Source organism: Homo sapiens, chromosome 16 (genome assembly GCF_000001405.40).
Source record: "Homo sapiens chromosome 16, GRCh38.p14 Primary Assembly".
In the NCBI taxonomy this organism is placed as follows: domain Eukaryota; kingdom Metazoa; phylum Chordata; class Mammalia; order Primates; family Hominidae; genus Homo; species Homo sapiens.
Genome location: NC_000016.10, coordinates 2,026,091 through 2,049,783, shown reverse-complemented (window position 1 = coordinate 2,049,783; position 23,693 = coordinate 2,026,091). Strand labels below are relative to the sequence as shown.

Here is a 23,693-nt window from a genome sequence, read left to right as displayed (position 1 = left end):
GGCGCGATCACGGCTCACTGAAACCTCCGCCTCCCGGGTTCAAGCAATTCTCGTCTCAGCCCCCCGAGTAGCTGGAATTACAGGCGCCCACCACTATGACCGGCTAATTTTTGGTATTTTTAGTAGAGACGGGGTTTCGCCATGTTGGCCAGGCTGGTCTCAAACTCCTGACCTCAGGTGATCCACCCGCCTCGGCCTCCCAAAGTGCTGGGATGACAGGCGTGAGCCACCGCACCCAGCCAGGATGGACTATATTTTATTCATCAGTTGATGAACGTTTTAGTTGTTTCTAAGTAGAAAACTTTACAAGTGCAAAAATTCAGCATTTACTCATGGGCAAAACACAATGCCAGGCATGTGTGACAAAGACACAAACACACATAAAAGATAACGACCTAGCCCATGTGCGATGGCTCATGCCTGTAATCCCAGCACTTTGGGAGGCCAAAGCGGGCAGATCACCTGAGGTCAGCAGTTCAAGACCAGCCTGGCCAAGATAGTGAAACTCCATCTCTACTAAAAATACAAAAATTAAATGGGTGTGGTGGCACGTGTCTGTAGTCCCAGCTACTCAGGAGGCTGAGGCAGGAGAACCACTTGAAACTGGGAGGCAGAGGTAGCAGCGAGCAGAGATTGTGCCACTGCACTCCAGCCTAGGCAACAGAGCAAGACTCAGTCTCAAAAAAAAAATAAAATAAAGAACCTACTTCTCCCAGGAACTCACATCTTATCATGTAACACCTGGACATATCCTTACCTGTGAAGATGATGATACTCAGGCCTCATCTATAAGATGGGCTTTCTTTCATCAACATCTGAATAGTAACTCAAGTGTGCCTGAACCAGGTCACCAAGATCCTGACTTTCGAAGTCTCCTGAGGAAGGACATGTCGGCCTCCAAGTACTGGAGACAGCATTCCTGTGTAGACAGTTGCCAGCAACCCGTCTCCCACAGAACCTGGTGCAAGACCAAACCCAGCCTTCTCTGCATTTCCCTCTAGCCTAGCAAAGACACAGGTAGCTCACTCACTCTCAGTATTTCCGCGGTGATGATAAACTCCGTCTGTTTACCCTCTGCAGACCTGGGATTTGGCCTCGGTGTTCCCAGTCCCAACAGAATCTTAAACTTCTCCTTCAAGCCTGAATCTTTGCTTGTTGGTTTGGCCATGGTGGACCAGGACGCACCAGAAAACCCCTCTGTGCAAACGAAACAGGAATGGGGACATCTGAGCAACACCTCTGCCCACCTTCCCCACTGCGGACCTCCAGCCGTCAGGACCCTGGGTCTCTGGTGGGCATAACCTTTCCTCCCACACTCCCTGGGAGAACTCAACTACAGCCCAGCTGACCAGCTCGCAAACAGGCACCTAGGAAAGCCCGGGAGACACCAGGCCTGGTCTAGAGAGCTCTCTACTCAGACGCTGCCGCCCGCCCCGCCCGACTCAGTGCACGGGTTAGGACTGCCGCCGCGAAGTCCTGGGAGCCCCGACGTTTGCCGTCTCTCCTCTACCCATGTGAAGCAGGAGCTGTCACGGAGCCGCCTGCAGCAGAGACCCGTTCGCACCCGCCATGACTTAAAACTAAGGGATGCTCGGAGCTCCGGAGTCGGGTTGCAGTGGGCGCGGGTGAGGGCCCGGGACCCGGACACTGCGGGGTCCGCCTCTCTAGGCCGCTGCCCCGTGGGGACCGCCACTTGCCCCGTGGGGACCGCCACTTACCCCGCGCCGCGCCACCGCGCTCCGGGCCGCCCCGACGCGGAGAAAGGCGCACCCCCCTGGCCCCGGGACGCCGCCGGAAGCGCGACCCGCACTTCCGGTAGCGGCATTGCGCGGAGGGCCGCCTTGGGAGCTTGCTGGGAGTTGTAGTTCTGTGCCGCCCTCTGGCGGAAAGGCCGGCGATCCTTGCATCACGTGACGGGGCCGCATGGGCCGCCGGGATGTGTAGTCCGCAGGAGTCCGGCATGACCGCCTTGAGCGCGAGGATGCTGACCCGGAGCCGGAGCCTGGGACCCGGGGCTGGGCCGCGGGGGTGTAGGGAGGAGCCCGGGCCTCTCCGGAGAAGAGAGGCTGCAGCAGGTAGCGCCGCGCCGTGGCTGGAGCGTGGGAGGAGGCGGGATAGGGGCTGCAGGCTGGAGTCCCGGGCCGCCTCCTGCGGCTCCCAGCTGCGCGGGCAGGGGCTGCAAACCCGGCAGCCGCGAACGGTTCCCACGTGCGGCCCTGCGTTCCCACCTTGCGCCTTTTTCCCAAAGATTGCGGTCCGCAGGGGCTGGGTTTCGGGCGCTCCGCTCCGCTGCCCCCTTTCGCCCCAAGCAAGAAAACGCTTCCTTTCCCACCACTCTGTCCGGGACTCTCCACTCCAGGCTCTGTGGGTCCCATCCCCGCCCTCCTGCAGTGAACTTGCTGTCCTCGGAGAGGCTGGGTGCCAAGGACACACGCAGCCAGAAGCCTGCTCCCCCAGCTCGGGGGAGGGTGCCTCTGAGGGAAAACAGGAAAGGGCATGGCACTTATTATATTTATCCTGCAGCCGTTGAGGACCTGCTGGGGGCCAAGCACTGCAGTGAGCAGTGAGGGACACGGACAGGGCCTCTGCGCTAGTCCCGCTGGGACTTCTGCAGAATTGGCCAGAGCTGGATTCCCATAGGCACCCAGGGACCCCAGGGGTAGTCCAGACTATGTCAGGAGGAACTGGTGCAGCTGGGAGCAGGCAGGTGGTGATGCCAGCCAGGGTGGCAGGAGCTTTGATGCCAGGATAGAGTTTGGAGTTTATTATGACAGTAAACGGAAGTCAATTAGGAGGTTTTGTTGTTTGTTTTGAGATCGGGTCTTGCTCTGTCACCCAGGCTGTAGTGGAGTGTTGTGATCTCAGCTCACTGCAACCTCCGCCCCCCAGGTTCAAGCAGTTCTCCTGCCTCAGCCTCCCAAGTAGCTGAGACTATAGGCCCCTGCCACCACACCCGGCTAACTTTTGTATTTTTAGTAGAGATGGGGTTTTGCCATATTGGCCAGGCTGGTCTTGAACTCCTGACCTCAAGTGATCCACCCACCTCGGCCTCCCAAAGTGCTGGGATTACAGGCTTGATCCACCGCGCCCGGCCGGCCAGGATTTTTTAAAAGGGAGTGACACAACCTGATGTGGGTGTTAGCAGACTGTCTCTGGTGCAGTATAGAAGATGTATTGGGGGCACCTTGGTACAGGCTGTTGCTAGAGTCCTCATGAGCTAACATGGACCTTGTCAGGGTCGCTGGCATAAGGAGGGCCCACATACCCCAGACTGCAGAGGGCAGAGCACCCCAAGTGTATTAGATGATGGACAGTTGTGGCATGAACGAGTGAGGGGTGAGCTAGCAGGCGGGATGGCACCCCTACCCTACCTTCACCTGTGGCCCCACCAGAGGGACTGCGTGGTGCTTTTTGCAGAAGCGAGGAAAAGCCACAGCCCCGTGAAGCGTCCGCGGAAAGCACAGAGACTGCGTGTGGCCTATGAGGGCTCGGACAGTGAGAAAGGTGAGGGGGCTGAGCCCCTCAAGGTGCCAGTCTGGGAGCCCCAGGACTGGCAGCAACAGCTGGTCAACATCCGTGCCATGAGGAACAAAAAGGATGCACCTGTGGACCATCTGGGGACTGAGCACTGCTATGACTCCAGTGCCCCCCCAAAGGTAGGCAGGGGCCCCATCTGCCCAGATGACCCCCCATCTTAGCAAGGTCCTTGTTTTCTTTCTACCCGGTGGCTTTTGGCTGGCACCCTCCCCTGCAGACAGCACCTTGGGAGGATGGACACCCGGTGCCCCAGAGCATCGCCTGCATCACTGTAGCCACTCAGCAGGTCAGGACACCAGTGGTTTAGGGCCTCGTGCTCGAACTTCTGCCCAGTGCAGGCGTGACCTGGGCTTTGTGTGATATCAGGAAGGAAGAGTTCCTTTTGCTTCACGGTCCCAGGGCCTGAAACCCTTAGACCAAGCTGAGTTCTAATCCCTATTCTGCTACCAGGTGGCTTGGATACAGGCCTCTCTGAGCCTCAGTTTGCTTGTCTGTAAAATGGGTAGTATGGGCCAGGCATGGTGGTTCAGGCCTGTAATCCCAGCACTTCGGGAGGCCAAGGCGGGTGGATCACCTGAGGTCAGGAGTTCGAGACCAGCCTGGCCAATGTGGCGAAACCACGTCTCTACTAAAAATACAAAAATTAGCCAGGTGTGGTGGCAGGCACCTGTAACCCCAGCTACTTAGGAGGGCGAGGCAGGAAAATCGCTTGAACCCCGGAGGCGGAGGTTGCAGTGAGCCAAGATGGCACCACCACACTTCAGCCTGGGTGAAAGAGTGATACTGCATCTCAAAAAAAAAAATTTGTTTTAAAGGGTAGTGTGATGATTCACGAAGCAATCATAATAGTAGTGGCCAATGGCTGTTCAGTAGTGATGGGCCAGATACGATCGTGTTGGGTTTTTTTTTGAGACCAAGTCTTGCTCTTGTTGCCCAGGCTGGAGTGCAGTGGTGAAATCTTAGCTCACTGCAACCTTCGCCTCCGAGGTTCAAATTATTCTCCTGCCTCGGCCTCCCGAGTAGCTGGGATTACAGGCATGCACCACCGCACCCAGCTAATGTTTGTATTTTTAGTAGAGACGGGGTTTCACCACGTTGATCAGGCTGGTCTCAAACTCCTGACTTCAGGTGATCCGCCTGCCTTGGCCTCCCGAAGTGCTGGGATGACGGGTGCGAGCCACCACGCCCGGCCACATACGATTCTAAGCACTGAGATAATTCATTTAAGCTTCACATTACTCCAGTGAGTCAGGTACTATTATTGTCCTGGTGTTGTAGATGACCAAACATACCCAAACCAGACCTCCCCACCCCACAGGGGGAGGCTGATGCCTCAAGTGTGGCCCAGGGCAACAAACCAGGGTGTGTCGAGGGCGGGGGGCGGAGCCTGGCCAGGGAATCACCCAGGACCCGCCGCCACCCCGGTCCCTGTCACTGCACAAGCAGGTACGCAGGTACCAGGTGCTGCTGTCACTGATGCTCTCCAGCCAAACCAAAGACCAGGTGACGGCGGGCGCCATGCAGCGACTGCGGGCGCGGGGCCTGACGGTGGACAGCATCCTGCAGACAGATGATGCCACGCTGGGCAAGCTCATCTACCCCGTCGGTTTCTGGAGGGTGAGCCCTGCCTGTGGCAACGGGGGCCGGGTGGCAGTGGCCTGAGAGAGACCTCAGAAGGCTGAGGGGGGTGGCGACGGTGCAGGAAGTGAGGGTCAAGCATCTCAGGCTCGGGGGGTCCCCCTGAAGCCCCCCCCAGGCCGTGGGGCCCTGAGGCCTGACGCCCAGTCCCAGCAGCTCCTTGGCCTTCCTGTTCGCATCCTCCCTTCCTTCCTCTGCTTCCCCGCCTCGCCGCCTGCCCACCCTTCCTCACCGCCAAGGCTGCCTGCCCACCCGCCTTTCCCTTTGTTTACTGCTAGCCTCTCCCGGTGTGTCACCCCCTCCTGTCCAGAGCCCCTCACCCTCCAGGAGCCCTGGGGAGGCTGCTCCCCAACCCCGCCGAGCACTGGATGGTGGTGGGCGGATCTGTTGAAAGCAGCTTGGTGGGTGGGGCCGCTTCCCCTTGGCACCCGCGTGGGCCGCAGTTTCTCAGATGGGTTTTAAATAGCCCTCTCCACTCAGGCACAGGATGGGAACCACCCGGCAGGCCTGGCAGCTGGTGGGGAAGCCCCAGCTCCAGCCCTCCTTCCTGAAGGCGCAGGTGCAGCCAAGCCCCACTCCTGGGAGCGGCTGGCCTGCTTGGCCTGGCCTGGGTGCTGGCAGGGAATGACGGGCAGGGGAACCCCAGCCAGAGCCTACACGTGCATCATTGGCCCACACGGGTGGGAGGAGGGGGTCAGGCCTACCTTGGGCCTCCCTGCTGCCCTCCGCTTGTTCCCGCCTCCTGGGGGGCGGGGGCTGAGCTTGCACACGTCCTCAGCAGGTGCAGGTAGCTCTGGCCACCTGTGGGTCTCCTGGGGGCTGCATCCTCCCAGGTTGGGCTGTGCCCTTGCCTCCAAGGCTGAACCCACCCCTGTCTTTCAGAGCAAGGTGAAATACATCAAGCAGACCAGCGCCATCCTGCAGCAGCACTACGGTGGGGACATCCCAGCCTCTGTGGCCGAGCTGGTGGCGCTGCCGGGTGTTGGGCCCAAGATGGCACACCTGGCTATGGCTGTGGCCTGGGGCACTGTGTCAGGCATTGGTGAGTAGAGGAGGGCGGGGCTGGCTCCAGCCCACTGGCTGCTCTTGGGATTCCCCACATCCTTGTGACCTGTGACTCCACTTCCAGCATGCTGGTCCTCCACCCAGCCCATAGAGTCAGAAAGGTGCTCCCAGGGTGGAGCCAGGCCAGCCCCACTCAGAGACAGGTGCTGGGGCAGGAGGTCACATGGGCTGAGCACCTGCTCCGTGCAGGGCTCTGAGAGAGGCCCCGGAGCTGGACTCCATCTGCGTTGTATTCGGGAGAAATGTGGAGCGAGGAATTCCCCACTCGTGGAGTGGAAACCCTGATGGTTGTGCAGGGTGCTCTTGGGGCCTGGCTTGGGCCCAGGGCCTCTGGGAAGGCCCCCAAGGTCATCCTTCACCTGAGAGCTGCAGAGCAAGGTGGGGTGAGCCAGGCCAAGAGGAGGAAGTGTGTTCCCAGCAGAAGGAACAGCATCTGTAAAACCATGATGCGAGAGAGAGGGCCAGGAGCAGGAAGTTCTGGAATGAGATGAGGGCAGAGTGGGGAGGTAAGGACTGAGGAGGGAGGAGGAAGAGTATCCCCTCAGCAGGTGGGGTGGGGAGGGAGGTGCTGGGGGGAGAAAGGGGGAGGGTGGGGAGGGAGGCTCTGCGGGGACAGGAGGGGAATGGTAGGGAGGGAGGCGCTGGGGGAATGGGGGAGGAGGGTGGGGAGGGAGGCGCTGGGAGGATGGGGGGAGGGTGGAGAGGGAGGTGCTGCGGGGAGAAGAGGGGAGGGTTGAGAGGGAGAAGAGGGGAGGGTGGGGAGGGAGGCACTGGGGGGAGGGCCCTCCTTGAATCCTTTTCCCAGGTCCTGGTGTCTCTTCCTAGCACCGGAGGCTTCTTGGCAGTTGGGTGCAGACAGACCCCTGGGTTTGGGGTGGGGCTGCCTCCTCCTCGGCTTTGTCCAGAGGATTTGGGGCTCCTAAGGCCACACGCAGCCGGGCCCAGCCAGTCCAGAAACCAGGGCTTGGCCCTGCCCTCTGTGTGCCCCCATCCCAGGCCCCTTTGGGACTCCTGCAGGGGGCCTGTGCCGGAGGCGGGGGGCTTGCAGCACTTTCTGGTGGGCAAGAGGGCCACCAAGGGCCGGGGGCCTCTATTCTGAGCCGGGGCCACCTGGTGAGGCTGAACAGCCACAGCAGCCCCAAAGAGCCAGAGCCAGGCCAGGTGCGCCGGGGCAGGGCCTCCTCCCGACTGAGACTCCCAGCGTCACCACCTGCCAGCCTCTCAGTGGACACTTGAGCTTATCTGGGCGGCTGTCCTCAGCTGCCCGTGTCCCTGGGGTGCTGCATCGTGGTTGGGCAGGGCTGTGGGGGAAGGTCCCTGCCCGCAGCCAGGCAGGGAACGGGCTTTGGGAGCAGCGGGCACAAGAGACAGCCATGTGGAAATACCTCCCTCTCCAGGTGTCTGTGGGCCTGACCACCTGCAAGGAGACCCCAGGGCTGCCTCCTAGGGGTTCCCCGAAAGAGAAACGCTCTCAGTTAAAATGTCAGAGCTGGCTGGGTACAAGGGCTCAAGCCTGTAATCCCAGCACTTTGGAAGGCCGAGGTATGTGGATCACCTGAGGTCAGGAGTTCAAGATCAGCCTGGCCAACGTGGTGAAACCCGCTCTCTACTAAAAATACAAAAATTAGCCGGGTGTGGCCAGGCGTGGTGGCTCACGCCTGTAATCCCAGCACTTTGGGAGGCCGAGGCAGGCAGATCACGAGGTCAGGAGATCAAGACCATCCAGGCTAAGATGGTGAAACCCCGTCTCTACTAAAAAACACAAAAAATTAGCCAGGCATTGTGTCAGGCGCCTGTTGTCCCAGCTACTCGGGAGGCTGAGGCAGGAGAATAGTGTGAACCTGGGAGGTGGGGCTTGCAGTGAGCTGAGATCGCGCCAGTGTACTCCAGCCTGGGCGACAAAGCGTGACTCCGTCTCACCAAAAAAAAAAAAATTAGCCGGGCGTGGTGGCAGGAGCCTGTAATTCCAGCTCCTCGGGAGGCTGAGGCAGGAGAATCGCTTGAAACCCAGAGGCGAAAGTTGCAGTGAGTGGAGATCGCACCATTGTCTGTATCCAGCCTGGGTGACAGAGCAAGACTCCGTTTAAAAAAAAAAAAAAATGCCACAGCCATAGATTGCTGGCTCCGGTCCCAGCTCTGCACCTCCTGGCTGGGTGACTCTGGGCCAGGCCCTTGGCTTCTCTAAGCTCTGGCCACAAAGTGGGTGAGGCAGTCCTCGTCATTCACTGTCCAGGTGGGCAGGAGGCTCACACAACGTGACGTGGCCTGACTCAGCCTTGAAGCATGGCCACTTCCGTGTTACAGAGGAGGAAACTGAGGCTCAGAGCCCCAGGGGTGTGACCCCTCAGGCCTTGTGGTCTCCCCACACCCTCGGACACCTTTTTCTAGGCAGCAGCGAAGGAGCTGGTGCAGGCCTCGGCTTTCTCTTTGGGAAACACGGGAGGAGGAGGCAGGGCTGGGGCTGCAGCTGGCCGGGGCCACCGGGTGGGAGAAGGGAGCCCCAGTGAGCAGACGCCTGGGGTGGCCAGCTGAGGGGAGCAGGAGCCAGAACCCAGGTGGACAGCAGCTGCGGCCGGCCAGGGCATGCTCCCGCTGTGTCCCTGACCGCTGCAGTGGCAGGTGCTAGGTCTGCAGGCAGTGACCTCATGCCGGCCTGCCAGGCAGAGCTGTTGCCACCCAGCCTGGTGCCCAGAGCCAGTGCTTATGCCGAGAGGAGCCTCAGGCCACAGGAGACAGACAGAGGGAAGCCTGGATGGACCCTTCCGGGGACAGGGCCACGTTCCTGGGGAGGCTGAGGGCTGAGAGGTGCTTCGGAGTCGGGATCCTGCCGGGCCTCGGTTTCAGCATCCGTAGGACCTCATGAGGACTCACTGAGCTGGCCAATCTCTCTGGCAGGGTCTGGCCCCCAGCAAGCGTTTGTCCAAGCGAGCTGTCGCTGTTATTGTGGGGAATAGAGCTCCAAGCAGAGCCGAGTCATCACCCCCAGGCCCTGCCCAAAGCAGAGACCCCACCACCCACACATCCAACTAGCACCAGTGTTGGGAGTGGGCAGCCCAGAACAGAGCCCCCCAGGCTGGCTCAGGTGATGGGAGAGAGGCCTGCACCCCAACAGAGGGCTCAGCCCCTGCCCCAGCACCTCAGGGGCAGCCAAGATGGTCACATGTAGGCTTGCAGCCAGGGCTTTGCGGTTCCAATGTCTAACTGGAGGGCCACGGGGGTGGTGGCAGACTCGCCTCTGGGCGGGGAGGGGCACGGGCTAGGCTGGTGGAGTGTGCCCCTGTTCACCCCGCTTGGCCTCCCAGCAGCAGTGGACACGCATGTGCACAGAATCGCCAACAGGCTGAGGTGGACCAAGAAGGCAACCAAGTCCCCAGAGGAGACCCGCGCCGCCCTGGAGGAGTGGCTGCCTAGGTATGAGTATGTGGGGGGCTTCCTAGGGAGAAGAGCTCACCCCGCCCGCCCTCTGTCAGCACTGACCCAGCCCCCACCCCCACAGGGAGCTGTGGCACGAGATCAATGGACTCTTGGTGGGCTTCGGCCAGCAGACCTGTCTGCCTGTGCACCCTCGCTGCCACGCCTGCCTCAACCAAGCCCTCTGCCCGGCCGCCCAGGGTCTCTGATGGCCGCATGGCTCTGGCCGAGGTGCCGCTGTGGCCACCGTCTGTGAAGTGGCTTTACGCTTCAGGAAGCCACGCCTGTTGAATAAAGCTTTGGTGTGTTTGCAGATGGGATCTGGCTGATGTCTGTCCCTGAGGGGGCAGAGAGCCTGGGAATCGCATACAAGGATGTGTTCGTACACACCCGTGCTCGCGTGTCTGGAGCAGGGCTGCCTGGGAGGCCGGCTGGGGACGTGACAATCTTTGCTATGTACTCAGGGAGGGGGAGGGGGTGTGCATGAACCTGGGAGGGAGGAAGTGGGGAGAGCCAGCTGCAGCCAGCTGTTGGAAGTCCGCTGGGGAAGCAAGCAGCCCCCGGGCAGCTGGCTGGGGACCCTGGCCCCTCATGCTATCCACCGCCGGCCCCCCAGCTTCCCAGCCCGGACACCGCCAGCTCCTGAACTTTCATGCCCTCAAAGCCCAGCCTCTGCCAGGGTCCCACCCCTGTTTACAGAGCTACCCGGCCTTGAAAGGGACACTGGGGACCCAGGCAGGGCGCCACAGGGTACAAAGCTTGACCTGTGACTGCTAGAGGTCGCAGGGTGAATTGGGCAAAGGGTGGCCCGTGTGGGTGTTGTGTGGGGCCGGATGGCTTCACAGGGAAGGTGAAGGTGGGAGGCTGAGTCTGCCAAATAAGAGAGATGGGCATGGGCCCAGGATGTGCCACACAGCAGGGGGTCCCATGGGGGTCAGCGGGGGAGATGGAGCAGGGCTGGGAGCAGATGGATGCAGGGCACGGGCTCAGGAACGAGACCGTTTCCAGCTGCTGAGACTCGGGGAGGGGGCTCCCTGAAACAGCCTCATCCCTCCACCCCTCTCACCCCACGGGGAGGAGGCTCAGAAAAGACAGAGGCGTGTGGGTCCCAGGCAGGGCCTGTTTATCCTGAGAGCGCGCATGCGCTATGGCTTACGAGGCAACAGCGGTGCCGGTCGATCGGTGGTCGGTTCGGGGGTGCGGGGCCCGGGAGGGAAGTGCAAAGTCAACAGGGTGTCCACGGGGGAGCCCGCCAAGCAGGGCTGAGCCAGAGGCCAGGCGTCCTTCCCGGGTGCCGCTCTCACACACCTACGTTCCCCAGGCCTGGGAGCTGCCGCGCGGAATGAGGGGCCTGTCCAGAGGCCGCCCTCCTCGGGGACGTGGGGCCTCCATCCTCAGGCCCCTCGGAGAGCCCAGGCCCCCAGCAGGGCACAGGCGCACAGGGTAGCTGGGTGGGGAGCAGGGTGTGGCCTAGGGACCCCCACACCAGGGCAGGTGGGCAGGGGCAGCTCCTACGGCCACATCAGGCCTCCCTGGCCTTACCCAAGGTCCCCACGAAGAGGCTGGGCGCCCCAACTTGGCCACTGGGAAGTCCCAGGGACTCCCACTCAGGACGGCCGCTGCTGAGGGGAGGGGGCGGGGAGGAAATGGTTTGCAGAGAAAGGTTTGTTTTATTGCAATTATTTAGAGCGCGTCCCAAGGGGGAGGGGAAGGGGGAGGGGAAGGGGGGGGGTCTCTGGTATTAAGTGGAAACATGTGTGGAGCTGGAGATCTTTTTGGAAAAAAAGCAAAAACACAAATTCCTTTCAGTCAGCAGGCCCCGGCAGAGCAGCAAAGGCCCTCGCCCCGCGGCTGCCGCGCGCTCGCTCGCTCTCTCTCTGTCTCTCTCTGTGTCTCTCTCTCTCTCTCTCTGTCTCTGTCTCTGACTCTCTCTCACATCTCTGGGTCTCTCTCCCCCTATCTTGCTGCCACAGGCCCCCAGTACCTGGTGGGCAGGGGCAGGATGGGGGCTCACCGGGGCTGGGGCTGATTTCTGGGCAATGGCAGGACCACCCTCCAGTCCACTGAGGCTGGGGGAGCTCGGGGCAGGCTGAGGCCCAAGGTCCGTGCGGGAGGGGTCCCAGGGTCCCGAGACAGGCAGGAAGGGGCTCAGAAGTTGCTGAAGATTTCACGCTTCCTGTTCCAGTCCATCTGTGGCGCGCGCTTGTTGACTCGCATGGCTCGAGCCTTCTCCTTGGCCTCGGCCGCCGTGGGGCTCAGGTGGAGGCCGCTCTCCTGGAAGGGATCTTGCTTCCAGGCACTGCCATCCTGGGGTGAGCACGGTGGGTGGGGTGTCTGGAGTGAGCCCTAGTCCCACACCCCAGACGGTGGCCCCTCCTAGGGAGCAACCAACAGAGGCTGCCTGCTGGGGCTGGGGCTCACGAGGACTTCCTGAACAGAGACCCCACTGCCCGGGCTGACATCTCCACAGACGCCTACCCCAAGGCCTCTAGCAACCCCACGTGTGAGCTCAGGAGTGGAGAACATCCATACCTCAGTGTCCTTGTCGGAACCAGGCAGGTCACTTCGGGACGAGCACGCAGAGCCACCATTGAGCTGGGAAACCAAGGGCAGATTGTGGTTTCACAGACACACACAACACCTGCACACGCACACATGTGCACAGAGGCACACCCCCCCCCAGTGTGTGCTCCTCCACTCGGCAGGGGGCCTCGGGCCTCTGGTGGACTCCAGATGCGGCGGGGCAGGCACCGGGCGCCTGGCAGTGACAGGCAGGTGGCCTGGCCGGCTCATGGTGCAGAGGGGGTTCAGGTGCAGGAATGGCCGGCGTGAGCAACGCCTGGGGTGAGGCCACCGCCAGCTCCCTGAGGAGGCAGAGACTGGAGGGCAACTCCTTACCAGGTGGTGCCCAGGAGAGGACAGAAGGCAGTGGCCCCGACCCCAGGGGCCCCACGTGGCTTGTGTGTGGCACGACCCAGGATGAGACCCACAGGGGCATTAAAGGGAGGTGACAGGGCTAAAATCGGGTGTCACTAGCACACCTCGAGGACGGATCTCCAGGGAGAAGGGGGCCTCTGTCGGGCCTGGGTACCCCCAGAGGCACCCTGTGTCTCATGGGCACCCCACCCTCTTACCTGGGCAGGGCTGGTTCCATTGGTGACGGGTGACGGCAGAGGACCTGTGGGGACAGCGTGTCAGTGGCTGCTCAGCCACCACACCGCACCCACCCTGTGCCCTGGGCCGTGGCCCACCTTCCACGTGCTCCTCGGTGGGTGTGACCCGAAGCCGCTTGAAGTGTTCATCTGTCTCGGGGTCCACGACCAGCAGCCGGGCCTCGTCCTCCCGTGCCTTGATGCTGGCCACCACCTCAGCATGGCGCAGTCCCTCCACATTCTGCCCGTTCACCTGCCGCCACCAGCATGTATCAGCCCCGCCATGGGCCCAGACAGCCCCCAACGCCGCGTGGCCAGGTGTGGCATCAAATATTCATCACAGCCACCGCCCACCGAGGCAGCAGGAGGCGCACCAGCTCAGGTTCCCAGCGTCTCCCTCCTCCCTGCAAGGACCCAGGGCCCCAGTGTGGACAGGTGCGGGGCACTCGGCACCCCGCAGCCCTGGTGGGCCGGTACCTCAATGAGCCGGTCCTGGGCGCGGAGGCCAGAGCGGGCGGCAGGTGAGCCCGGGTCCACAGAGCGGATGTACTGGCCGGGCCGGGACTTGTCACTATGCAGGTTGAACCCATAGCCCTGAGGTCCCTTTCGCAGGTGGCAGAGCCGAGGGCGCAGCTCCCTCAGGGGCCCACTGACATCCTGCAGGCCCAACGGACAGGGTCAGTCTCTTGCTCCAGCCTCCCGCCTCCAGAGGCCACTCCCCGGTGGTGCCGCCACTGCCCAAACTCGGTACCGTGCCCCCCACGGGCAGGCCCAGGTCTCAGTGGCAAACACTCCGGGCACCCAGGCTGCCTGTGACAGAGCTTTAGCTGTGGGAACTTGGGCAAAGCCTGTTTTCAAACCCAGAAGCCTCCCCGACGGGCCCAGCCGCCTTCCCGGGTTGCTGGGAGAATTCCTTTGGCTCGAGGCCAGCGTGGCGCACAGGCAGGGTGGGAGGAAGCACCAGGTGGGATGAACTGTCGCCGTTGGCCTCCTGGGGCGGTTGTCCCTGAGGGCTCTGCCTGTGCGTCCCCCTGCCCCGGGCTCTCCTCCAGAGCGTGGGGCAGGCGCTCCTAGGCCAGCAGTTTTGTTTTCTCTCCAGAGGCCTCCGTGGGGCTGGCTGCGGTGGCGGCTCTGTTTGCTTTCACATTCCAGGAAAATGAGCCGCCCCACCCCCGTGGGCCCAGCAAGCAGGGGCTGGGGCAGGAGCTTAGTGTGGACAGGGCACAGAGGGCCTCCTGGTGCCCGGAAGGACCCCCCGCTACCATCCCAGGCCCTGCCCCATGTTACCTCTGGCATCCTGCGGTAGGGCTCTGGGCCAGGGGACCATGCAGGCAAGGCCAGGCCCAATGACCACCTCCCAGCCAGGGGGTGGGCCAGGGTGCGGCGGCGGTGGCCAGCGGCTGCCCGTGCTCAGTTAAACATGGCGGTGGCCGGAGCAGGCAGGAGGCAGCTCAGGTTTCCAGGGAGCGCCAAGCTTGAGGGCGTGCGCAGGGGAGACTGTGCAGGCGGGCTGGGGGCTGCCAGGGCCCTTCCCTCACCTCCTACCTCCCTGTGTGTCCCTGAGGGACCACAGGCCAGGCCAGGCCAGGGCTGGGGCGGCATGGCAAGGGGGCGCTCAGACCTCAGGAGGGCAGGTCTCCAGGCCTCAGACACCCCCAACCCCTCCAGCCACCCACCTTCAAGCTCGCTCCAAACCCCAATGGACCAGAAACGGCCATGTCAGCGGGGGGGACCGCCCCGCCAAGGGAGCAAGGGGGTCCTTCTCCACACAGCTAGTGCTCTGTCCCCTGGGCTCAGGACCTGCCCTTGGTCTGGAACACCCTTCTCCTGTCCAGCCTGCCAGATGCCTCATCTGAAGCCTCCTGCCCACCCTCTGAACCCTCTCTGCATGGCCACCACCCAGCCCGTCACACCAGAAACTCCAGGGACAAGCCTGTGGCTCCCTGGCCCCACAGGGGCTCAGCTGGGCCACATGGGCTGAATTAGAGGGTGCAAGACCCCCAAAATCTCCAGGGCCCCACCACATAGACTCACTCCTCCCCCAGACACACCTGGTGGCACAGGCGTGGGGCTTCAAGGCTGACCCTGACACCTGCCCACCAAAGTGCCCCTCAGGGATGCAGTCACAGCACGGCCCCCAGGCTGGCCTGGGACGCAGGGAAGGCGTGGGGACAGGAGTCCAGTTCGGGAGGGGAAGTGGAGCACAGCCCCCAGGCTGGCCTGGGACGGAGGGAAGGCGTGGGGACAGGAGCCCAGTTCGGGAGGGGAGGTGGAGCACGGCCCCCAGGCTGGCCTGGGACGGAGGGAAGGCGTGGGGACAGGAGTCCAGTTCGGGAGGGGAGGTGGAGCACGGCCCCCAGGCTGGCCTGGGACGGAGGGAAGGCGTGGGGACAGGAGCCCAGTTCGGGAGGGGAGGTGGAGCACGGCCCCCAGGCTGGCCTGGGACGGAGGGAAGGCGTGGGGACAGGAGTCCAGTTCGGGAGGGGAGGTGGAGCACGGCCCCCAGGCTGGCCTGGGACGGAGGGAAGGCGTGGGGACAGGAGTCCAGTTCGGGAGGGGAGGTGGAGCACGGCCCCCAGGCTGGCCTGGGACGGAGGGAAGGCGTGGGGACAGGAGTCCAGTTCGGGAGGGGAGGTGGAGCACGGCCCCCAGGCTGGCCTGGGACGCAGGGAAGGCGTGGGGACAGGAGCCCAATTCAGTGGAGGAGGTGGGAGCGTGATATGGGCCCAGTCCGCAAAGACACATCACACAGCCACAGACACAAGACGTCCACACACACCTGCAAACACGCACAGCAGCCCACACATGCGGCCAGCCCCACAGTGCTGGCCCGGCAGCCCTTCCCACGCCTGCACAGCGGCCTGCGGGGCAGGGTTTCTCAGGGCACCAGACAGGAAGCAGGATCTGGTGGGTGTCTGGGGCCCTGAGGCCAGGCCAAGGACCCCTCAGTGTTCTCAGGGTCATTCTGGCCACCCCTCTGCCTCTGTCCAGAAGCAGCCGTCTTTCACTCTACAAGGCAAGAAGTTCTGCCTATCAAACCTAAACCCCTTCATTGTCAGCAGGGTCCCAGTGGCGCCAGGCACAGCACTAAAACCTCAGGTGGAGGGGCTGCAATGGAGGGGCCAGGGTGGGCTGCTGGCAGCACATGGGCTCGTGGGGAAGGGGGGCCCAGAGAGCCGAGGAGCTCGGGCGGCGTTCATAGCTCACATTCCTCCTCCCTGCCCTGGCTCAGCACACACTTCCTGCCGCCTCCCGCCAGGCCCTCGGGCTCCCACGGGCTCCAGGCTCCCTCCCTGCCGGCGGCCAGCACAGAGCTGGACCATCCCTGGTCCCCCAGCCATGCCTGTGTCCGGACAAAGAGGCTGGCATGGGGGTACCCTGGGCACCCCCCCAGATGGTGACGCACCAGCCCTGGCAGAGAAAGGCCTTCATTGTTGCTCAGCGACCAGCCTGCTTACATCAAGGTCCCGGAGTCCCCTCCTTCCACCCCGGGAGGCTGAGCGGCTGCCGGTTCCTCCTAGCCCTCCCTTCCTCCCACCCCACCTGACCTGTACCAGCCTCTGGGGTGGGCTCCGTGGAGGGGCTCCCGGAGCCCGGGCAGGTGGCGTGGCACTCCCGGAGCGTGCCATGACAGCGGCACAGTGACAGCAAGTGGCAGGCGTCCGGCCGGGGTGGCCTGAACTCTCTGGCCGACCCAGGCTGCCACCCCACTTATCTACCTCCCTCTGCGGCCCTGGCTCCCCGGGGATGGGTGGGGACGTGGGGGCTGAGTCACTCTGGGGAGCAGGGTGATGACTGAGCCCGCTCCCCTGCGAAGGCTCCAGCCTGGCGCCCCCCACCCAGCTAGGCTTCCGTCCCAAGAAAGGAAGGAAGGAAGCTGCTGGAAGGCCCTGCCCTGCCCCAGGACCCAGGGCTGAGGGGACAGGGAGGAGTCCCGGCCCCAGAACACAGGACGGTCCTGTTGAGGCTCCAGAGGAGCAAGAGCCAGGGAAGCCCGGAAGCCCCCGCAGGCACCGCGCCCCAACCACACAGCCGCCTCCCGCAGAACTGTCACCCCTCACACCTGCTCTTAGCCCCCAAGGCCCTCCAGATGGGGGTGGAGACATGGGCTAGGGGCAGGGGGCAGAGGGCTCAGGGTCTGCCACCACCTCCAGGGCCTGGCACCGCTGGCCACCCCGTCTCTGTTTGGGGGCTGTCCCCTGTCGTCACTACTAGGATCAGCTGCACTGCAGCTGCGGCCACCCCCAGCCTGGTGTGGCCCAGGGCTGAGTCATCACTAACTAGGCCTTCACGGCCCCCAAAAGGAGGGGCCAACCACATCAGTGTCCTCCCCTGCCCACCTCCCCTATCCCCAGCCAGGACAGAGGACACTGAGAGCCACCCTTAGCTCCCAGGGGGCACCCAAAGTTGGGCCCTCTCCATCCTTCACCAAAGACAAACTACACACATCCCTTCCAGAGCTCTGCCTCTCTGCCACCAGTGCCCCCACTGGAGCCATCCCCGCAAGGTAAGCTTTGCCCTCCTGGGCTCCCTGACCATCTGAGGCATGCCCTGAACCCAGGCTGAGAAGGGCAGGATCTGAGCCTGCTCTGTGGAGGTCAGGTGAGGCCCACCTCTTCCTGCCCATGCTGGGAGCTCAGGTGAAGAAACCTCAGGTCCTGAGCCAGGCGCAGGGGCTCACACCTGTAATCCCAGCACTTTGGGAGGCTGAGGCAGGCGGATCACTTGAGCCCAAGAGTTTGAGACCAGCCTGGCCAACACGGTGAAACCCTGTCTCTACCAAAAACACAAAAATTAGCCAGGTGTGGTGGTACACGCCTGTAATCCCAGCTACTCAGCAGGCTGAGACATAAGAATTGCTTGAACCCAGGAGGCGGAGCTTGCAGTGAGCCGAGATCGCACCACAGCACTCCAGCCTGGGCGACAGAGTGAAACTCCGTCTCAAAAAAAAAAAAAAAGAAAGAAAGAAATGAAACCTCAGACCTCAGGGGCCGGGTACAGTGGCTCACACCTGTAATCCCAGAACTTTGGGAGGTCGAGGAGGGCAGATCACCTGAGATCAGGAGTTCGAGACCAGCTTGAGCAACATGGTGAAACCCCGTCTCTACTAAAAACACAAAAATTAGTCAGGTGTGGTGGTGCGCGCCTGTAATCCCAGCTACTGGGGAGGGTGAGGCAAGAGAATCGCTTGAACCCAGACAGCGGAGGTTGTAGTGAGCCAAGAAAGAAAAAGAAAAAGAAACCTCAGGTCTTGATGCCAGAAGAGAGAAGGGGAGACCCTGTTCCTTGGGTGCCCCCTGACCTCCTGGAGCCCCTGTCCCCAGCCAGACTCATGCACAAAGGGACCTGCCACTCAGGCCACCCTTTGTTCCTCTAAAAATACACCCAGAGGAAGCCCCTCCTAGGGCTTCCTGCAGCCCCCAGAGCCTGAAATAGCAGAGGGGGAAGGTCCCACCCAAGGCAAGGTGCCTGGGCCACTGCACCCTCCAGATAAAGTCCGAGGGCCGGATTTTTCCACAGGAAGGTGAACCATGCGTTTGTGTCCAAATCAATGGACAAACGCCTGAGGCAGAGGGGGAGCTTCCTCCTGGGGGAGGGAAGGTGGCTGGGAAAGAGGGAGGCCCCAACCCTCAGCCTGGAGACAGGGGCTTAGGACCAGCCAGCCCCCCTGCAAGGCCAGCCCCCCCACCAGCCCTGGGCTGGGCACCTTGGCCCTGAGCACCACTGTGGCCCGCCCTCAAGCCCCAGGAACAAAACGGGTCCCACAGGTCCCACGGGCAGGCCTGCGCCCAGGCTGGGCTCCCCACAGGGAATGCTGTCTCCCTGCCAAGCCGCTCCCCCCGGGCTCAGCTCCTAGGGGCAGCCAGCTTCAGCAGTGACGTCTGGGAAAGGGAGAAAGTGAATGTGTATATCCCCTGCACCCTCAGAACTCCAGATCCCACACCCCTGCCCCAAGCGCGGTTCTCACAGTGGGGTCTGGCCAACCCCTGGACTCATATCCCCTGAAGGGATTTCTTTCTTTTCCTTTTTTTGTTTTTTTTTGAGACAGTCTCACTCTGTCGCCTAGGCTGGAGTGCTATGGCGGGATCTCGGCTCACTGAAACCTCCGCCTGCCGGGTTCAAGCGACTCTCCTGCCTCAGCCTCCCAAGTAGCTGGGACTATAGGCGTGCCCCACCATGCCCAACTGATTTTTGTATTTTTAGTAGAGACGGGGGTTTCACCACATTAGTCAAGCTGGTCTCAAAATTCCTGACCTCAGGTGATCCACCCATCTCAGCCTCCCGAAGTGTTGGGATTACAGGCGTGAGCCACCGCACCCGGCCAGGGTTCTCTTTGAAAATGAAAAAAAAAAAAAAAAAAAGGTAGGAGAGAACATGGAGATAATGCCATCAGGGCCTCCAGGAAGATAAGACAGACAGCTTCAGGCTGTTCCTCCTGGTCCCCAAGGCCTGCCAGGCCGCCCCTCCCAGTCGGCCACCTAGCAGGAGGTGGAGCAGGCCGCCCCTGTACTTTTCTGGGTCTCCTGGCTGGGAGCAAGGGCAGGGGAAGGAGGAAGTACTACCCAGCAGGAGTCCAGGAGGAACAGCAGACAGGGTCCCAGGGCCCTCCCTTGTATCTAGGGGGAGGAGTGGGCTCACCCTGGAGCCTCCTGGACCCCCAACTCCACTCCCATGCTCCCAGCCCCACCTACGCCAGGCCTGGCAGAGTGGCCTCCTAGGCTTCCCCAACCACGGCGCTGCCTGTGGAGAAGGCCGGCCCTCTCCCAGGCCTTCCCAGCATGCAGGCGCCTTCAACAGAGACAAAGACAGAGCCACGGATGACACCCAGCACAGGCACAGAGCTGCGCACACGCAGACCTGGAATGCCTCTTCCCAGGGTTCCTCAGCCACGAGGCTGGGGGCTGGGGAGGCGGCAGCTTGTCAGAGTGACCCCTCGATAGGGCAAGTGGCTCTGGAGCATCCTGGAGAAGAGGAACAGGCCAGGCTGCCCTGACCCTACCCAGTTTAAAACACAGGCTGAGGGTAGAAACAGTGGCCCCCAGTGGCCAACAAGATGGTCCCTGGGGCAGAAAAGGAGCCCCAAAAGGCAGAAGAGACCAAGACTTCTGGAGGTGACCAAAGGCAAAGATCGTCGTCAAAAGCTGAGAGAGCCTCTGGGAGAGGCTAGGGTGGTCCCTGTGGGCCAAGCCCGCCATACCTTCTTGCCAGCTTCGGAGCTGTGGCTGCCGGTGTGTGCCCAGTCTGGCTTCGGCTCCCAGGGGTCGTGGGCGGGTGGGAGCCCTCGCTGGGCCATCTCCTCGGTACAGGTCAGCTGCCGCCGGCGGAGCTCCTCATCTGTCTCCTGGTCCACCACCAGCAGCCGAGTCTGCCCCTCCACAGCCTTGATCCTTTGCACCACCTGGGGCGAATGGGCGATAGGAGCGGGTCAGTGGCCCACATTCCGGGCAGCACATGGGCAGTGGCACCACTCTGGGCTGGCCCAGGCGTGCGGACAGGCGGCTGGTCTGCATGGGCGGGTGGCTGCACCAAGAGGCCTGCCGGCCCCGCCCCCCACCCCCGGACTCCAGCGGCTCCCTCCCTCTGCACTCAGGCTCCGGACACTGAGGCCCAGGCTGTGAGGGCTTCAGGGTGCTCCCAGAGCCTTGCCCTTAGCCCAGGGTCTTCTCCAGGCGGGGCTGGGAAGGGGCTGCAGGATAGGGCCGCTGGGTAAGTCCTGTCTGGAAGTGACAAAAATGGTGCACAGTGGACCTTCAGGTTTTCAGTCTGCCTGTCCCTGTGCGCGCATGCATCCATCTGTTTCAAAGTCTGTGTCTCCGTCCAGGTTTGAAGGAGAGGTGTGTCTCCCTGGGCCCCAGTTTGAGTGTGTCTGTGCCCATTCCCGTCATTCTCTGCCGTGCAGTGTGGGAGTCTAAACTCCTGACCCTAGGCCTTATATCTACCTCCAGGCCATGGCCATGGGCCCATTCCCTCTGGATCTGCAGAGAGGGGAAGGGCTGGGCTCCTGGCTCGGGCACCCACACACAGCCAGGGAAGCAGGATTCAGGTGCAGCCGGCGAGGGGGAGAGGCAGGTGCACCTGTGGACAGCTGTGGCTTGGTGGCCGTCGGTGTGTGCGTGCAGGTGCCTGTGAAGTGTCTGGACCACGCGGGGGGCCAGCGCACACCCGCGGAGAGAAAGCAGTGCCCACTGGGAAGTGGGCAGGAAGAGGGGCAGCCCTACTCCCACCTGCGGCCTGGGGGAGGGTGGACAAGGCTCCCCACCAGCTGCCGGGCTCAGCAGGGGTGGTGAACAGATAGGAGGGACTGAGCCAGGCCCATCTTCCCCCAGCCCTCCTCTCTCCCCATGACCCAGAGTGAGACAAGAGGAACCCAGTGCCCAGCTGCTTCTTGACTATGTGTCCCAGACAAGTTACCCTCAATCTCTGGCATCAGTTTCCTCAACTGTCAAATGGGGCAGTAACTGCCCCTCTTGCCCTCCTGGGGCAGTGGGGAGAGTCCACCATGGTCTGTGTGTCCAGTCCTCAGAGACCAGCCCCACAGGGCCTTGGAAAAGCAGGTGTTCCCAGGGCGAGGGTGGCAGTGACTATCCAACAGCAGCCTGGCCCCAGCCCTGGCAGCCCTACCCTCAATCCCTCAGGTCCAGGCCCCTGGCCTGATCCCCACATTCTTCAGCAAACAACCTTACACAGCAGACACTCTGGGTGGAAGGCATGGGGCCGGCCGACAGAGTGACAGACAAGGCACCAGGTAAACAGGAGACCAGCTCCAGGTCCAGCTGAACCAACCTGCTAATCTCTAGGTTCCAGGACCAGCCATGTAGACAGGTTATGGATTCATCGGTGCTGTGAGGGACAGGGGACCTGGAGGAAAAGGGGTGTGTGGACGCTGGACCCCAACCAGGGTCTGGAGGGAGTCCCTGGCCTGTGGGAGACAGACACACCTCAGGGGTCAGAACCCACAGAGAAAAGGCTCTGTTCTCCTTAGCCAGGAGGCAGGAGGCTTCGGCCAGTAACCCCAGCCAGGCTAGGCAGCCTCTGAGGAGGAGTAGTGCCTTTGTAGCTAAGGAATGTGGTTGCCAGCAATGACCAACTCAGCCCGGTCCCAGACACACCAGCTGGGACACACTAGAGTACAGACACAAAGACTCACCGGCCTGCAGACAGTGATGAGTACACTAGCCAGGCGTGCACACACACAGAGCCCAGCTCCCATACGCCCAGGAGTCCAGACCTGCACACACACAGGCACACGTGCAGACCTGTATACTCACACACACACTACAGCACACACAGGTGCAGACACACTGATGCCTTTACTGCGACCCCTCCTGGGTACGCACAGGCAGGCGCATGCACACATGGCTGACCCCAAAGGGACCTGCATACACACGCCCAGCTGTGTTCACACGCACACGTGTACACACACACCCAGGCAAAAGCACCCAGGTCTTCACCTTTCCGGAGGGGCTCCAGGCGGCCCAACACCCTCCTTCACGGCACACTGAGGCCAAAACGCGACCAAAGGGCGAGGCCAGCGGCCAGGAGCCGCAGTGCGGGCCCCTCCCTGCCAGGATGCCCCCCCCCACCCCCGTGCAGGACTGAGCTTCCTGCGCCGGGACTCCGAAGGCGCCGGGCCGCTGCCTCCCGACAACGTCCGCGTCCTCCCCGCGGGAGCCCCCTCGGGCCCCCGTGCGACCCCTGCTCGCCCCAGGGGGACGCGCTCGGGGAGGGGGCGGCGGGCCGGGGGCGAGCGCTGGCCCCCACCTGGTGGTGCGTCTCGCCCTCCACGTTGACGCCGTTGACCTCGACCAGGCGGTCCCCAGCGCGCAGCGCGGCGGCCTCGGCGGGGGAACCGGGTTCCACGCGCCGGATGAACTGCCCGCGGCGGCCCTTCTCGCCGTGCAGGTGGAAGCCGTAGCCCTGCTCTCCGCGCACCAAGCGGCACAGGCGCGGCCGCAGCGGCTCCGGCGCGGCCATGGCGCCCGCTGCCCACCGGCCGCCCGCGGGCAGGGGCGCGGGGGAGCTCGGGGGCGGCGGCGGCGCTGGGCACCCGGCGGTGGCTTCAGCGGCGGCTCCTGTTCGGCTCCCGTCGCCTCGGGATCCGGCTCGGGCTCCGGCTCGGGCTGCGGCACCGCCTCCGCGCCCGCCCCTTCCCCGCCCCCGCCGCCCGGCCGCCCCCGCCTCCAGTCCCAGCCGTCCCGGCCAGGCCCCTACCTCCGCGCCCGGCCAGCCCGAGGCGGGGCAGGGGGAGGCGGCAGGGCTAGGGGACCCCTTAACCACCGGGACCTCTCTGTCTCGCCCCTACTCTGGGCAGCCGCCTTGGTGCCAGCGCCTTTGCCTTCTATCCCAGGAACATTTATTGGATACCTACTGTATGCGCAGCATCGAGGCAGGTCTTGAGGTGGGCGACGGGTTGGACAAAGGGTCTCCAGGCCAAGGGACCCCGACAAAGGGGCCAAAGGGTAAGAACAAGGGCCACAGCCCTCCCCACCCTCCCCGGGAAGCCCTTCCGGACCCCCTTGCCTGTCTCCTCTCGGCTGTGTCTCACCTGGATCCCTCCCAGCCAGTGGCTGGGAGACTCCCTGGCCCAGGGCAGAGTCTCAGGAGGGCCCAGGAGGCAAAAAGGGCTTTAAAAGTGACACGCAGCAGCCCCTCCCTGCATCCTGGGGGCCAGTGGCTGGGAGACTCCCTGGCCTACCCACCGTGTTCGGCCTATCTGCACCGCGTCGGTTCCCACGCCCTGCTGCCATTCTTTCCCTTGGCCGGGCCGGCCCCCTCACTTGTGTCCCAGCCCACCCCAGGCCTGGACTGTGACTTTGCAGGGTGACAAAAGGATATGAGTCTCGAGGGTCCCTGCTACCCACCTCCTGACATGGGCTACACTCCACTGAA

At 62.9% G+C, this 23,693-nt stretch overlaps 3 protein-coding genes across 67 annotated transcripts in view, besides 6 other annotated features; 1 reads left to right on the top strand and 2 right to left on the bottom strand.

The window, feature by feature from the left end:
* The window catches only part of TSC2 (TSC complex subunit 2), a 41,507-nt gene extending 39,708 nt beyond the window's left edge, over positions 1-1,799 (bottom strand). For 45 of the 52 annotated variants that reach the window (NR_176226.1, NR_176227.1, NR_176225.1 and 42 more), the window contains exons 1-2: positions 1,719-1,799; positions 1,031-1,197 (exon numbers count right to left, since the gene is read on the bottom strand). Coding sequence is in view for 22 of the 52 variants with exons in the window: in NM_001406667.1 (NP_001393596.1) it covers positions 1,031-1,168 (138 nt within the window). In the remaining 30 variants the exon portion in view is untranslated. Of the gene's footprint in view, positions 1-1,030; positions 1,198-1,510; positions 1,583-1,718 lie in introns of those variants that run through there. The other 7 variants (NM_001406677.1, NM_001406675.1, NM_001406676.1 and 4 more) reach the window with 2 other exon arrangements.
* Positions 1,536-1,765: a silencer, noted in NCBI's record as "silent region_7024". NCBI's record gives its function as "represses an Ori minimal core promoter by ATAC-STARR-seq in GM12878 lymphoblastoid cells {active_cell/tissue: GM12878}" and the evidence as "EXISTENCE:reporter gene assay evidence [ECO:0000049][PMID:35858748]".
* Positions 1,856-1,945: an enhancer, noted in NCBI's record as "active region_10253". NCBI's record gives its function as "activates an Ori minimal core promoter by ATAC-STARR-seq in GM12878 lymphoblastoid cells {active_cell/tissue: GM12878}" and the evidence as "EXISTENCE:reporter gene assay evidence [ECO:0000049][PMID:35858748]".
* On the top strand, positions 1,950-9,964 carry NTHL1 (nth like DNA glycosylase 1). 4 transcript variants are annotated; one of them, NM_001318194.2, is made up of 6 exons: positions 1,950-2,075; positions 3,418-3,504; positions 4,984-5,154; positions 6,058-6,217; positions 9,546-9,651; positions 9,737-9,964. In NM_001318194.2, the coding sequence occupies exons 2-6, from the start codon at positions 3,481-3,483 to the stop codon at positions 9,858-9,860; spliced, it is 585 nt and encodes a 194-aa protein (NP_001305123.1). In that variant the 5' UTR covers positions 1,950-2,075; positions 3,418-3,480; the 3' UTR covers positions 9,861-9,964. The 4 variants fall into 4 exon arrangements, with proteins under 4 accessions (NP_001305123.1, NP_002519.2, XP_047290127.1 ...); NM_002528.7 differs by having other exon boundaries at positions 3,418-3,656; XM_047434171.1 differs by having other exon boundaries at positions 3,393-3,656.
* Positions 2,047-2,546: an enhancer, noted in NCBI's record as "H3K4me1 hESC enhancer chr16:2097239-2097738 (GRCh37/hg19 assembly coordinates)". NCBI's record gives its function as "activates a minimal SCP1, AML or CMV promoter by ChIP-STARR-seq in naive H9 embryonic stem cells {active_cell/tissue: H9 hESC(naive)}" and the evidence as "EXISTENCE:reporter gene assay evidence [ECO:0000049][PMID:30033119]".
* Positions 2,396-2,455: an enhancer, noted in NCBI's record as "active region_10252". NCBI's record gives its function as "activates an Ori minimal core promoter by ATAC-STARR-seq in GM12878 lymphoblastoid cells {active_cell/tissue: GM12878}" and the evidence as "EXISTENCE:reporter gene assay evidence [ECO:0000049][PMID:35858748]".
* Positions 10,758-22,882, bottom strand: NHERF2 (NHERF family PDZ scaffold protein 2). 11 transcript variants are annotated; one of them, NM_001130012.3, is made up of 7 exons: positions 22,566-22,882; positions 20,002-20,202; positions 13,281-13,460; positions 12,903-13,056; positions 12,786-12,829; positions 12,184-12,246; positions 10,758-11,958 (listed from the first exon to the last, which is right to left on the bottom strand). In NM_001130012.3, exons 1-7 carry the CDS (start codon positions 22,776-22,778, stop codon positions 11,800-11,802), a joined length of 1,014 nt encoding a protein of 337 aa, NP_001123484.1. In that variant the 5' UTR covers positions 22,779-22,882; the 3' UTR covers positions 10,758-11,799. The 11 variants fall into 11 exon arrangements, with proteins under 11 accessions (NP_001123484.1, NP_004776.3, XP_047290880.1 ...); NM_004785.6 differs by having other exon boundaries at positions 10,758-11,925; XM_047434924.1 differs by lacking the exon at positions 22,566-22,882 and adding an exon at positions 21,588-21,608.
* Positions 12,554-13,136: an enhancer, noted in NCBI's record as "H3K4me1 hESC enhancer chr16:2086649-2087231 (GRCh37/hg19 assembly coordinates)". NCBI's record gives its function as "activates a minimal SCP1, AML or CMV promoter by ChIP-STARR-seq in naive H9 embryonic stem cells {active_cell/tissue: H9 hESC(naive)}" and the evidence as "EXISTENCE:reporter gene assay evidence [ECO:0000049][PMID:30033119]".
* Positions 16,641-17,225: an enhancer, noted in NCBI's record as "H3K4me1 hESC enhancer chr16:2082560-2083144 (GRCh37/hg19 assembly coordinates)". NCBI's record gives its function as "activates a minimal SCP1, AML or CMV promoter by ChIP-STARR-seq in naive H9 embryonic stem cells {active_cell/tissue: H9 hESC(naive)}" and the evidence as "EXISTENCE:reporter gene assay evidence [ECO:0000049][PMID:30033119]".